Raw genomic sequence first — 15,680 nt, 5'->3', positions numbered from 1 at the left:
CGCAACAGAGAGGAAAGAGTTTCTTCAATGAATTACTGGGTAAATGGTCATGCCATTTTCTAAGACAGTGAATACTGAAAAATAAATGATACATTAGGGTAAAGATGAGTAGTTCAGTTTGTGACATGGTTGAGAAGCCTTGTAAGAAAACCAGGTGGGAAAGTGTCTTTGGATGCACAGGTGTGGTACAAAAGAGGTGGGGAGAGAGGTATAACTTTTGGAGTCACTGACATGTAGAAGGTAATTAAACCCATGTATCTACTAGGAATATATCAAAGCATGATAATAAAAGAAAATCTAGAATCAAACCCTGAGAAAGTTCATCTTTTAAAGGTCAGAGAAAGAGGAAATGCTAAAAGAAGCCGAAAAAGTATAACCAGGAAAGTAGGAGAAAAAAAGAAAACTAGGGAGTTTTCCAAGGAGCAGGTCGTTGTCAGCAATGGAGACACTGCAGAGATACCCAGGAAAATGAGGACAGACAAGTGCTTATTGGATTTAGCAGCAATAAGATTTTTAGAAAGGGCTATTTTAGTATTTCAGTGAAGGGAAAGATGAAAGTGAGATTCAAAGGGATTGAAGAGTAAACATGTGAAAAGTATTAGAGGCAGAAAATTATTTTAGGAAGTTTGGCCTGAATGGGATGGAAAGACTAGACATAGTAGGTAGAAGATTATATGAGTGTCCTAATAAAACTTATTTGGTGTTTTGTTTTGTTTTAAGATGGAAGACAAAAAGTTTGTTGTTGTTGTTGTTGTTGTTTAAGACGGAGTCTTACTCTGTCACCCAGGCTGGAGTGCAGTGGCGCGATCTCAGCTCACTGGAAGCTCAATCTCCCAGGATCAAGCGATTCTTATAACTAAGCCTCCTGAGTAGCTGGGACTACAGGCGCCTGCCAACATGCCCGGCTACTGTTTTTGTATTTTTAGTAGAGATGGGATTTTACCATGTTGTTCAGGCTGGTCTCGAACTACTGGCCTTAGGTGATCCACCAGCCTCTGCCTCCCAAAGGGCTAGGATTACAGAAATGAGCCACCATGCCTGGTCAAGATTTTTTTTTTTTTTAGTGATACTTGGGAAAATTATGTAGAGAGAGAGATTAAAGATGCAAGCTATAAAAGGAATTGATAATATAAAAGCTCCTGAGAAGATTGGAAGAATACATATAAGAGACCCTGATCCTTGATAGGATGGACCTTTTCTAGAACTACCATCACCCTGGAAGCTGAAGAAAGTAAGTGACAACATGGACATTTATCATAGCTCATAGCTCCTGTTGGCCAAGGAGTCCACCCTTTAAATGGAGTCACAAATCATTTTCTTGACAGTTTTTTTCTCTGGTCTTAATTCTGAGAGTCTGGTTTCCTGCTGCTTACAACATGCTTAGGCTTAGAGAGTTTTTTTTCTTACAAAGGCACTGCTAATTTAAATTTGCGTCTTCTAATAGACCCTGGAGTTTGAATCCAGTTTTTGCTCTCTTCCTATTACCAGGGCCTTTATATTTCAGTTGAATCCTTGCTCAGTGGTTTCCCCTTAGGTAATGATTCTAAATAATGTTTTATTTTCCATCATGTGATACAAGGGTAGAACGGTATGTCTAATCCTTGACTTGAAATCCTCAGGCTGGACCAAAATCCCCTACTCACTTTGTTTGTTTGTTTGTTTGTTTTTGTTTTTGTTTTTTTGAGATGGGTTTTCATTCCTGTTGCCCAGGCTGGAGTGCAATGGCGCGATCTTGGCTCACCGCAACCTCCCCCTCCCAGGTTCAAGCGATTCTCCAGCCTCAGCCACCCGAGTAGCTGGGATTACAGGCGTGTGTCACCACGCCCGGCTAATTTTGTATTTTTAGTAGAGACAGGGTTTCTCCATGTTGGTCAGGCTGGTCTTGAACTCCTGACCTCAGGAGATCCGCCCCGACTCCCCCACCCCCGGCTTCTCAAAGTGCTGGGATTACAGGCGTGAGCCACTGCACCAGGCCCTCACTTCTACTTAGGCATCTTTCATGTTCTCAACCACTATTGAAGATACTGCTTGAAAATAGACTAAACTTCCACATTATAGCATGTTTATGTTTGAAAATTCCTGCTGCCATGCTCATCCACTAGATCAAAGCCCCTTCTGGATGAAATGTCTGTATATCTCATGGCTCTTCTTAATAAAGATGAGACAGAATATTTACAGATTTAAAAAATATAATCAAATTTCAAGTTTGGGGATATTACTGCCAACTTTACAGAGACAAAATAGTTACAAAGGAATATTATGAATAATTGAATGCCAACAATTAGAAACCTATATGGAATGGATAAATTCTTAGAAAGACAAAAATTAGCAAATCCAAATTAAGAAGAAATAGAATTGATCTATAGAAGTAAAAAGGTTGAATCAGTATTTCAAGATAACTTCCCACAATAAAACAACAGATGAATTCACTATTGAATTCTACCAGATGTTTAAGGAAGAATTAACACTAATCCTTTACAAACTCTTCAAAAACTTAAAAGAGAAGAGACCATTTTCAATTCATTCTACAAGGCCAGTATTGCCCTGATATCAAAACTGGACAATGACATATATAAAATAAAACTACAGAGCATCTCTTATAAATATAGATGCAAAAGTTGCTAATAAAATACTAGTAAACAGTCCAGCAACATATAAAAAGTAACACACAACATCACCAAATAAGATTTATCCTGGAATACAAGGTTTATTTAACAAACAAAAATTAATCAATGTTATACAACATATTAACAGAATAAAGGATGAGAACTTTATTCTTTTTTTTTTTAAGACGAGGTCTTTCTCTGTTGCCCAGGCTGGAGCGCAGTGTGCGATACCTGCTCACTGCACCTTCTGCCTCCTGGGGGAATTTTATTCTATAGTCGTCTCAATAGAGGGGAAAAGGCATTTGACAAAATGTAATAGCATTTCATAATAAAAACACTCAACAAACTAGAAACTGAAGGGAACTTCCTCAATCTGGTAAAGGGCAGCTACAAAAAAATCCAGAATTAACATCATCCTTAACAGTAAAAGTTGAAAGCTTTACCCTCTAAGCTCAAGAAAAAGACAAAGAGGTCCACTTTCACCACTTTTATTCAACATTGTACTGGAGGTTCTAACCAGGACAATTAGGTAGGAAAAAGAAATAAAAGATACCCAAATTGAAAAGGAAAGAGTAAAACTGTCTCTATTTGTTGACATGATCTTCTATGTACAAAATCCTAAGGAATCTATGAAAAAATAAATAAACAGAGCTAATAAATGGGTTCAGCAAGATTGCAAAATATAAGATCAATATGCAAAAATCAATTATACAAAATCAATCAATACAAAGATCAATATGCAAAAATCAATTATAGGACAATTTCATGTCCTAGCAAAGAACAACGCAAAAAATAAAATTAAGAAAGTAATTCCACTTGAAATAGCATCAAAAATATAACATATTTAGGAGTAAATTGAACCAAAGAAGCATAAGACTTGTTCACTGAAAATTACAAAACAACATTGAAAGAAATTAAAGACCTAATTAATTATAAAGATATTCTGTGTTCACAGATCCAGGCATAACATTTTTAAGATGGAAAAATTCTCCAAATTAATTCACAAATTTAGTGCAACCTCTACCAAAATCTTAGCTTCCCTCCTGCAACCTCTTTTTTTTTTTTCAGAAATTGGCAAGCTGATCCTACAATGTATATGGAAATGCAAGGGATACAGAGAAATCAAAACAGCTTTTCACAATAGACCATTAGAAGTCTCACACTTTCCAATTTCAAGGCTTACTACAAAGCTACATTAATAAACAATATTTTACTTGTATAAGAATGGACAAATTGGTCAATGGAATAAAATTTATAGTTCAGAAATAAAACCATACATCTATGACAAGCTACCAAGACCATTCATGGGGGAAAGAATTATCTTCTAAACAAATGTGGTGAGACAACTAGATATCCACATGCGAAAATAAATAAATAAATAAAGGTGAAACCCAACCTCACACCATATATAAAACTTTACTTAAAGTAGATCAGGCCGGGCGCGGTGGCTCACGCATGTAATCCCAGCACTTTGAGAGGCTGAGGTGGGTGGATCACGAGGTCAGGAGATGGAGGCCATCTTGGTGAACGTGGTGAAACCTTGTCTCCACTAAAAATACAAATAATTGGCCAGGTGTGGTGGTGGGCGCCTGTAGTCCCAGCTACTCAGGAGGCTGAGGCAGGAGAATGGCATGAACCCAGGTGGTGGAGCTTGCAGTGAGCCGAGATGGCGCCACTGCACTCCAGCCTGGGTGACAGAGTGAGACTCTGTCTCAAAAAAAAAGAAAGTGGTTCAAAGACCTAAATTTTAGAGTTTCACTATAGAACTCTTAGATAATAATATAGGCATAAATCTTTGTGACTTTCAAGTAGCTAATAGTTTCTTATAGTACTCAAAAACAAGAAACACAAGAAAAAATAGATACATTGGACTTTTTTCAAATAAAACCCTTTGTTCTTCAAAAGACATGATCAAGAAAGTGAAACTACCCTCAGATTGTGAAAAAATGTTTTCAAATTATGTATCTGATAAGGAACTAGAATCCAGAATACAATGAACTCTTACAACTTAACAATAAAAATACTCAATTTTTAAAAAGGGCCAAGTATTTGAACAGATGTTTCTACTTTATTTCAACAAATTCAGGCCATTGTTAACTCTTTTAAATGAAAAAAAGAACTCCAAGCACCGTCTTGTCAGGATGTCAGAAACTCTACTTTTGCTTCCTTCCTTCCGCTATTTTTTTCATTTAACTACATGTAAGGAATTCTACCAAGAATTAATAGTCAGAGAGAAGTAAAAATAAAATTGTTCAATTTTCTTACTACAAAAAAAGTAATAAGGCCAAGAGCTTACTGGAGTCTGAAAGTAATTATTCAAATCAGTTTGAGTCACCATACAAACACTTATCTGTGCTTTTCTTGTCACTCATCGTGAGAAATAGTCAGATGCAAGTGAATCTTAAAGCTATCTGTTCCCTGTAAATTATAACTTGACGAAGCCTTCATTGACAAAATGGAAATGCCATTTATATCCTGTAATTGATACATAGACTGAGTTATTAAAGTATTGCTATTGAAAATACAAAGTTCAAATGTTTCTAAGTTTTCTTTAAAATGGGGGTCTCTGTTATTGGAGCAATCATTTTCTATCTCTGTGTTTCCCCAATTGTGATATGTGGGCAAGAGATCATGTGGGTTAAGCATGTAGCTCTGCGTTGGGTAGATCTGGGTTTCACTTTTGGTTCCAAAACTGTCTTCTTTTACTGTAAAAGATGAAAAATTATAGTTGTGCAATTGTTGAGGGATTGCTATGGAAATTAAATGAGGTACTATTTGTGAGGTGCTTAGTACAGGGCCTGGCATGTGATGATTGCTCAATAAATGGCAACAATAATATTGCTATATACTATAAATGTGTATAACAAGAACTCCTCAAACAAATATTCTAACTTCATTTATCCATCCAATACAATCGATAGTAAACATCTGCTTTTATTTGAATGATTTGGTTATGCACTCATGACAAGAATTTAGTATTTTATTAAGGAGAGAGAGAGATAAAAGATTTAATTAAAGATCTTTGCAGACTTTTCCCCAAAGTGGATGGAAATGGTCATGAAACAGGGACTTCTTTGTCTATGTCTCTTTTTAAAAATCAATTCATTAAAAATTTGACAAAATTCTGTACATCTATTGTGTACAACATGATGTATTGAAATATGTATACATTATGTTATGACTAAATTGAAGAAATTAGCATATGATTCCTTCACATACAACATTTTTGTGTGGTGAGAACACTTAAAATTTACTTCTTTAGTGATTTTCAACAATAAAATACATTGTTATTAATGATATCACTAGGCTGTACAGATTTCTGAAACTTAACTTCTGCTATCTAACTGATATTTTGTGTCTTTTAAACATCTCTTACACATTCTCCCTTCCCCACAACCCAAGCTCCTGGTAACTACCATTTTCCTCTCTGCTTCTAATAGTTCACATTTTCTTAGATTCCACATAAAAGTGAAATTATGACAAATAAAAATATTTGTCCTTCTGTGTCTGTTTTATTTTATTGAACATAATATCCTTCAAGCTTATATATTTTATCACAAATGAGAGGATTTTCTTCTTTTAAATGACTGAAGACATTTCAATTGTGCATATATACCACATTTTCTTTACGTTTTCATCCCATCATAGACATAGCTTGATTCAATATCACGGCCATTGGGAATAATGCCGTGATGAATATGTTAGAGCACTGAACATATTAATTTCGTTTGTTTTTTATTTATTTATTTATTTATTTATTTATTTATTTATTTATTGAGATGGAGTCTTGGTCTGTTGCCCAGGCCGGAGTGCAGTGGCGCAATCTCCACTCACTGCAAGCTCTGTCTCCCAGGTTTACGCCATTCTCCTGCCTCAGCCTCCCGAGCACCTGGGCCTACAGGCGCCTGCCACCATGCCTGGCTAATTTTTTATATTTTTAGTAGAGATGGGGTTTCACCATGTTAGCCAGGATGGTCTCGATCTCCTGACTTCGTGATCCACCCACCTCGGTCTCCCAAAGTGCTGGGATTACAGGCGTGAGCCACTGCGCCTGGCTGATTTCTTTTAGATATATAAACAGTAGTGGGAATGCTGGATCATCTGGTAGTTCTATTTTTAATTTTTTGAGGACTCTCCATAAGGTCTTTTGCTTATTTTAAAGCTGAGCTGTTTTCTTGATATTGATTTGTTTGAGTTTCTTAGATATTTTGGATACTAACTTCTGTGCAAAAACTGTTTAGTTTGATGTAATCTCGTTTGTTTTTGCTTTTGTTGCTGGTGCTTTGGAATCGTATCTCAAAAAATCATTGCTCAAATCAATGTCACGAAGCTTTTCAGCTGTGTTTTTTTGCAGGAGTTTTATAGAGTCCAGTCTTAAGTCTTTAATCTACTTTGAGTTGATTTTTGCATATAGTGTGGGATAAAGTAGTAAATAGTGATATACAGCTTCAATGCAATCTCTCTTAAAAATTCCCATAAAATTTTGTACAGAAATAGAAAAAAGTAGTTTTTTTTTTACAGTAGATTTACAGTATCAGGCCTTAAGTCTTTAATCTACTTTGAGTTGATTTTTGCATATAGCGTGGAATAAGGGTCTACTTCTATTCTTTTGAATGTGAATATTCAGTTTTTTTGACACCACTTATTGAAAAGACTCTCCTTTCCCTGTGGTATGTTCTTGGCATCTTTGTTGAAAATCAATTGATCTTCAGTGGGATTTACTTCTGGGATTTCTATACTATTCCATTTGTCTATTTATCTGTTGTTATGCCAGTGGCATGCTCTTTAGATAATGATAGTATTGTAGTATATTGTAGTAATGTAGTGTATGTGATGCCTCCAGCGTTTTTCTGCCCAAAATTGCTTTGGCTATTTGGGATCTTCTGTAGTTCCATACAAATTTTAGGATTGCTTTTATTTCTATTTCTGTACAAAATGTTATTGGAATTTTAAAAGAGATTGCGGTGAAGCTATACATCACTTTTGGTAGTATGTACATTTTAACAATATTAATTATTCTAATTCATGAAAGCAGGCTATCTTTCCATTTGCTTGTGTCTTTCATCAATGTTTTGTTGTTGTCAGTATACAGGTCTTTTACCTTATTTGATAAATGTATTCCTAATAATTTTTTGAGGGGATATCCATTGCAAATGACATTCTTGATTTCATTTTTGGGTAGGTCATTGTCAGTATATACAGAGGCCAGTGATTTTTGAACATAGATTTTGTATCCTGCAACTTTAATGAACTCACATAGTATTTCTAAATTACTGGATGGAATCTTTAGGGTTTTCTATATACATGATTAAGCTGTCTGCAACAGGGACAATTTAACTTCTTCCTTTCCTATATGGATGTCTTTCCTTTCTTTCTTTTTTTCTAATTGTTCTGGATACCTTTTCTTTCTTTCTTTTTTTCTGATTGTTTTGGCTAGGACTTCGAGTACAATGTTGCGTAGTAATGGTGAGAGTGGGCATACTTATTTTGTTTCTGATCCTAGAAGGAAAGGTTTCAACTTTTTACCTTTGAATATAATGTTAGCTATGGGTTTTTCATATAGGGGCTTTATTGTGCCGAGGTACATTCATTCCATACTTAATATGTTGAGAGTTTTTATCATGAAAGTTTTTATCATATACATTTTATCATGTTTTTTCTGCATCTGTTGAAATTATTGTATAGTTTTGTTCTTCGTTCGATTAATTCGGTGGATCACATTTATTCATTTGTGTATGTAAAACATCCTTGTATCCCTAGGATAAATCACACTTGATCATAGTGAATGATCATTTTAACGTGTTGTTGATCTTGGTTTGTTAGTATTTTGCTGAGGATTTTTGTGTCAATGTTTGTTAGGGATATTGGCTTGTAGCTTTCTGTTCTTGTAATGTCTTTATCTGGCTTTGGTATCAGAGTAATCCTGGCCTCATAAGTTTGGAAGTATTATTTCTTCTTAAATTTTTTGGAAGAGTGTGACAATGATTTGTATTAGTTATTTAAATGTTTGGTTGAATTCAGCAATGAAGCTATCAGATTTTTTCTGGGCTTTTCTTTGATGGGAGACTTTTTATTACCAATCCAATCTCTTTACTCACTACTGGTCTATGCAGATTTTCTATTTCCTCATGATTCAATCTTGGTAGGTTGTTTGAATTTAGGAATTTATCCATTTTTTTTGAAGTTATTCAATTTGTTGACATACAGTTGCTTGTAGTGGTCTCATGATCAATTGTATTTCTGTGGTATCAATTTTTTTTTTCTATTACATTCTTCCTGATTTTATTTGTCTTCTCACTTTTTATCTTAGTCAAGCTAACGTTTTGTGGATTTTTCTTATCTTTTCAAAAAAACAAGTCCTATTTACTTTGCTCTTTTCTATTGTTCTTCTAGTCTCTATTTCATTTATTTCTGCTCTGATCTTTATTATTTCCTTCCCCTCACTAACTTTGGGCTTCGTCTACGTTTGTTTTCCCAGTTTCTTGAGATGTAATAGGTGTTTATTTGGGATCTTTTCTTTTTTTTTAATATAGGCATTTATTGGTACAGACTTTCCCCTTTTAACTACTTTTGCTGTATCCCATACATTTTGGTACATCATGTGTCCATTTTCATTTGTCTCCAGATATTCTTATATTTCCCTTTTAATTTCTACTTTGGTCTATTAGCTGTGTAGAAAACATTTTTTTAATTTCCATGTATTTGTGAATTTTCTGAAATTCCTTATTATTGATTTCTAGTGTCATACCATTGCAGTTGGAGAAGATATAAGATATGACTTCATTCTTCTTAAATTTGTTAATTGTGGTCTAATACATGACGTATCCTGGAGAATATTTGGCATGCACCTGAGAAGAATGTGTATTCTGGTGTTGGATGAAATGTCCTATATATGTTTGTTAGATTCATGTGGTTTAAAGTTTCCTTTAAGTCTCATGCTTCCCTATTGATTTTCTGTCTGTACAATCTGTTCATTGTTGAAAATGGGGTATTGAAATCACCTACTATTACTGTATTATAGCTGATCTCTCTCTTCAGATTTATTAATATTTGCTTTACATAATTAGCTGCTCTAATATTTGGTACAGACATATTTAAAATTATTATATCCTTTTGATGAATTGACCCCTTTATCATTACATAGTGACCTTCTTTGTCTCATTTTACAGTTTTTGTCTTGAAGTCTATTTTATCTGATATAAGCTTAACTATCCCATTTATTTTGTTATTCATTTGCATGGAATATCTTTTTCCATCGTTTCACTTTCTTTTTTCTTTTTTCTTTTTTAGATGGAGTCTCACTCTGTCATCAGGCTGGAGTGCAGTGGCGTGATCTTGGCTCACTGCAACCTCCGCCTCCTGGGTTCAATTGATTCCCCTGCCTCAGCTTCCCAAGTAGCTGGGACTGTAGGCACACACCACCACACCCAGCTAATTTTTGTGTTTTGGTAGAGACAGGGTTTCACCATGTTGGCCAGGATGGTCTTGATCTCCTGTCCTTGTGATCCACCCACCTCAGCCTCCCAAAGTGCTGAGATTACAGGCGTAAGCCACCGAGCCGGGCGCACTTTGAACTTATGTATATTTTTAAAAGTGAAATGAGTCTCTTGTAGACAGCATATAGTTGGGTATTGTTTTTATTCATCTATGTCTTTTGATTGGAGAATTTAATGCATGTATACTCAAGGTAATTATAGGTAAAAAATTACTAGTGCCATTTTGTTAATTGTTTTTTGGTTGTTTTGTATATCCTTTCTTTGCTTCTTCTTCTCTTGCTGTCTTCCTTTGTGATTAAAATTTATCTCTAGTGGTATGCTTTGATTCCATATTTTCCTGTCTTTTGGTATCTACCATAGGTTTTTGCTTTGTGCTTACCGTGAAGCTAAAATAAAGTATCTTATTATAACATACTATCCTAAGCTGATAGCAACTTAACATTGATCACGTAAAATAACTCTACACTTTTACTTAACCTCCTCATATTTTATGTTTTTGATGTCACAATTTACATAATTTTATATTGTGTATTCCTTAGCAAATTATTGTAGCTTATAAATCTAAAGCACTATTTTTAACAGTGTTGTCTTTTAACTTTTGTACTAAAGATATTAGTGACTTACATACCACCATTACAATATTAGAGCATCTGAAGTTGACTGTGTACTTACTTCTACCAGTGAGTTTTATACATTCATGCTTTCAAGTTACTAATTAGCACTCAGTTCTTTCAGCACGAAAAGCTCCCTTTAGCATTTCTTGTAAGACTGGTGTGGTGGTGATGAATTCCTTCAGCTTTTGCTTGTCTGGGAAAGTCTTTACATCTCCTTCATTTTGGAAGGACAGCTAGGGACTTATTTTTCATCACTTTGCCAATATTACCTAAAATATGGCAGAAAAATATTTTGGAAATTATATCAGATTTCTTAAAACTTTGTGGAAAAAAAGATGTGAAACAAAATTATAAATATGAACTCCTGGCCTCGTGACCCGCCCACCTCAGCCTCCCAAAGAGTTGGGATTACAAGCGTGAGTCACTGTGCCTGGCCCTGATTATTCATTTTGGGGCCAGGTGCAGTGGCTCACACCTGTAATACCAGCTCTTTGGGAGGCTGAGGTGAGTGGATCATAAGGTCAGGAGTTCAAGACCAGCGTGTGACCAGCATGGTGAAACCCCGTCTCTACTAAAAACACAAAAATTAGCCAGACATGGTGGTGCTAGCCTGTAATCCCAGCTACTCAAGAGGCTGAGGCAGGGGAATCGATTGAACCTGGGAGGTGAAGGTTGCAGTGAACCATGATTACGCCACTGTACTCCAGCCTGGGCGACAGAGAGAGACTCCTTCTTAAAAAAAGGAAAAGAAAAGAAAAGAATAATCAGTATTCAACCTTATCAAAAGACAGTTAAATTATTTTGCCACTTTCAGGAAAACTTCTTACCCATGAGAATTGGAGTTCCTCTTTCAGTTTACATCAACACTTTTTAAAAAATAGAATAATCTTATTTATACTTAATTTTTAAAATTAAGGCAATAAAAGCTGCATATGTCTTTAATACAGTGCATATCTAAATTTCCAATTTCATTGGAAACCTATTTTCAGGTTTTTATTTTGAATTATTGATTAGATTTATTATTTTATATCTCATTTTTAAGTATATGACTTGTAATTATACAATCTTTCATCATATTTATATATTCTCTCTACATCACATGACATTAATTTCCTATTTTCCATCTTGATATAATGTTTTAAAAATAGAGCTTAGAAAGCTAATTTAAATAACTTATTAAATAAATAAGGACAGATATCATCAAGGTATATTTGAATGACAGAGGTTTTGAAATGCTATGGAAGAATAAGCTTTTAGGATCTAGGTTCATCATTGTTCATGGTTGAATTCTTAAGAAAGTAAGACACAAAGAGTTGCAATTATTCTTTCAGCTCATATAGCTTTATAACTGGATGTAAAGTTTAAGGGGGTTATATTTTTGCCTTTCAATTACTAGAAATTTTGGTTATTATTTAGTCACACATCAAACATGTTTTCACTCATTTTTCCCGCAAACCACTATGGTACTTGCACATAGGGACAGAAATGACTATGACTGTAACTGCTCTCAAAGTATTTACAATTTGATAGTGGAGGCAGACTCGCAAATACATAACTAATGAAAGAAGAAATGAATTTTGAACTGTAGTAGATATACAAACAAAATGTTGTGGCAGTCCAAAGGAGAAAAAAAAGGTTATGACTCAAAGTAGAAAAAAGATCCAAAAGGCTAAACAGTTCTGGTGGCATTTGATCAGTAGCTTCAGGAATCAGTAGGTAAAATGGCAGGTTGTAGAATAAAGGATTCTAGGCAACCATGTCAGCAACTCTCTGAAGTGCAGAAAGTGCAGGATATATTCATGAATTAGTAGTCTAATGTGGCTGGTACACAAAAATATATAGTGAAAAATGAAACTGTAAAGGAAAAACAAGCCTAAATATCAAACTAAGTAATTTAGATTTTATTCAGGAACTTTATTAAAGCAACGGGTTAGTAAAAAGATTAGTCATTCTCCTTAGTTAATACCATCATGTGCTGCAGTGTATGCACTGGAACAGAGTCAATTTTAGAGTGGATACATCCAAAGTCTTTTGGGACAAGTAAATGCCAAGATCGGAGGTCATTATACTATAACATCACTGGAGCCATAAAATTGAAATTGGAGATATACTGAAAGACTTTGACTTAAAAAGAAAACCAGCACAATTAAAGCAAGTATTAAAGAGAGTAACTGATGGGACATTTGCCAGCTTTGAATTAATTAAATTCAGCCTTAATTTTTAAAAGAGCTGCTTGAAACAAAATGAAGCCATCCTTTTCTAATATAGTGAGACAGTAATGTGATCCCATTATGATTCATTTCAAATTTGAGCTTTTCTCTAGTTTATTCAGTTGGTTAAGAACAAAGTGATAGTTGCAAATAACATCACTATCAGGAAGACTACCACCTAGCTCAAAAGTAGTCAAATGAAAGACATTGTTCCCATTTTCACCTGCCCTCTATGCTCTCAGCTTTAGTATTAATAAGATTTGAGGTTAATTAATCCTGGAATCTGGAAATTAAACCATAAATTGTGAAAATCCAACAGTTTTTTATTTCAAGATGTTGCTTCATGCTTGTGCATCTATTTGAATGTGTGGGCATGCATAGGAATGCTTGCTTTTAGTGAAGTGGGCGGGTATGAGATGTATTGATTGGGTTCTTCCTGCCATTGACTCCATAACAAATCTGTCACTTCTCCAAGTAGTGAATCATGTTAACTACTTGATTGCATTGCATTTTATAGATTTATTTTCTTTCTTTCTTTTTCCTTCATCTAGATCATTCGTAACTGAGGCACACTTGCCTTTTGCAACTAAGCTCTACTGAATTCCAAAGCTATAGAAATATCCATCTTGACCTGGAAAGTCTGTTTCTTTGCTAGTCCAGAAGGTTTTTTTTAACATGAACAAGATCCTCTCAAGCACTGTTTGCTTTGGACTCCTAACTTTGTTATCCGTGTTGAGTTTTTTACAATCTGTGCATGGACGACCATATCTTACCCAAGGTACGTGCATATCAATTAAAAATCCTACAGGTGGGTAAGTAATTCTTCTATTTCTATTTGAACAAATTTGATTTTTCTGCCATTGTTGAAATAATGTTTTAAGGAATAAATATTATTTAATAGCCAAATCTCCCTTAAGTAGTTGCTGGTCAGAATTAAATGTCATCTTCAATGCTGTTCTTTTCAAGTAGATTAATTTTACCCAAATTAATTTTACCCAATATTGCACTAAATTCACTTCAACTATAGTTTATTTTTTTTTAAATATTGGGGCACTTGTTTCTCATTTGTAGTCCCTGACCAAAGATTGGGAATGTATAAATAGTAATGCATCCTTCATATTTCAAAACTCTATCTTGGGGAAAGGAAAAGGAGATTTTCATCTTACAAGACTATTAGTAAGTTCTTTATGAAAATAGAGTACAACAATGAAAAATACATCAAGATAGAAACTTGTATTTGCAGAGATTTGAGGAAAGTAAAGCATTGGGGGAAATCATAGCAGTTTCAGGAGGGCAATGCTAACACCTACATTACACATTGTTTATCACATTTCCATCTATGACAGCTAGAAAATATACACCATGATAAAATTAGTGAAAATAAGTTTCTGCTCTTATAATATTATAATTTACATAATTTTTATTTAAAATTTGTGGTGCTTCTATAGAAAAAGTAGCTCTTAAACTGAGAATCCTGAGAGCTAGATTTAGTGATGATTTATCAGGCAAACAACTTAGCCTCATTGAAACTTTAATACATTTCTTTATGTTTCCAAAATAGTGACTTAAAGTAATGTTCTCTAATACCTTTTCCAGCCTGAAATTCTTGCTGTTTCTCTCCTCTGACTTCCTTGTCAGGAAGAGGGAGATAACCTTTTCCTCTCAGCTTACTTAAGGGGAACCAAGACAGAATGTAATAAATTTTGTTTACATGACATTAGATTGAGAAAAGGGATCAAGTTTCCAATTTCTGATTCTAATTCCATTTTACCAGACCTTGTTACCTCAATCAATAAAAAGTAGAGTAGTTCTGTTGGCAGAGGAAATAAAATTGCATAATCCCTTATTATTTATTTATGAGGATTTTTCCCATTGAAAAACAAGTAGTCTCAGAGACCTAAATACAAGCCTGGGAATCAAAGATTCTGGATTTTATCCATGACACTCACATTTTATCTTTGGTCAGCCACAATCATTGCATTTGGTAGGTCTACGTTGCTCTTTCTATGAAATATTGAGATTTCCAATGTTTCTAACGTAATGTGAATATGGGAGGAAAAATGTGATTATTTGCTGAAGACTTTGCAAAATTAGGATTAGGTAATTGTAACTTCTAATTTCATGTGTATATGAAACAGAGAAAAATCTGCCTCTAAATCATTTGCTAGATTACAGTTAAATAACACCTCTGACCTCAGAATGCCACACAGTGATATACATATATCACTGACAGCACAGTGGTGCTATTTCTCTCAGAGACCTCTTTGATCTCAGTTTTATTATATGTAAATAAGGAAGATTAAATTATTAGTAAGGTTATTTTCTATCTAAATAGTCCAAGATTAGAGGGAGTTCTTCTCCATGTATACATTTTTTATATCCACTATTTGACTTCTTTTAGTCTTCTAATATAATTTTAAAATAAGCATTTATCTGCTGACACAGACTACAAAGTTGGGGTTATCAGCTTTTTTCTGTGTGTTAGAACTCTCCAAGACAAATGGCACAATCCTCCCCACTTACATCTGGTAGGGACCATATAAAAGTGTGCCTGAGGGAATGAGCCTGAAATTGGGCAAACTGCCTAACACAAAGGAGGAAGAAAGAGTATCATGACCAAGAAGATTATGGGAAATTTATTTTTGTGAATTTAATCGTTTTGGGAGTTTCCAGATTTCTTTCTGGTAAAATTTCTTGTCTCTGTGCAGTAAAAACCTTCCCATGTAGATGGAAAGCAAAGAGACAACTAAATTT

The 15,680-nt window shown here is 34.5% G+C and overlaps 1 protein-coding gene across 4 annotated transcripts in view; it reads left to right on the top strand.

Annotated features, from left to right (window-relative positions):
• Positions 1-15,680, top strand: part of UTS2B (urotensin 2B) — a 79,015-nt gene that overhangs the window by 50,392 nt on the left and 12,943 nt on the right. For all 4 annotated transcript variants that reach the window (XM_047447899.1, NM_198152.5, XM_011512631.3 and 1 more), the window contains one exon: positions 13,478-13,704. In XM_047447899.1, coding sequence (XP_047303855.1) covers positions 13,602-13,704 — 103 coding nt within the window. In that variant the 5' untranslated portion in view covers positions 13,478-13,601. The remainder of the gene's footprint in view (positions 1-13,477; positions 13,705-15,680) is intronic.

Source organism: Homo sapiens, chromosome 3, assembly GCF_000001405.40.
Source record: "Homo sapiens chromosome 3, GRCh38.p14 Primary Assembly".
NCBI classification, from domain to species: Eukaryota; Metazoa; Chordata; class Mammalia; order Primates; family Hominidae; genus Homo; species Homo sapiens.
The sequence above is the reverse complement of the archived record's forward strand: the minus strand, read 5'-3'. Positions and strand labels throughout refer to the sequence as shown.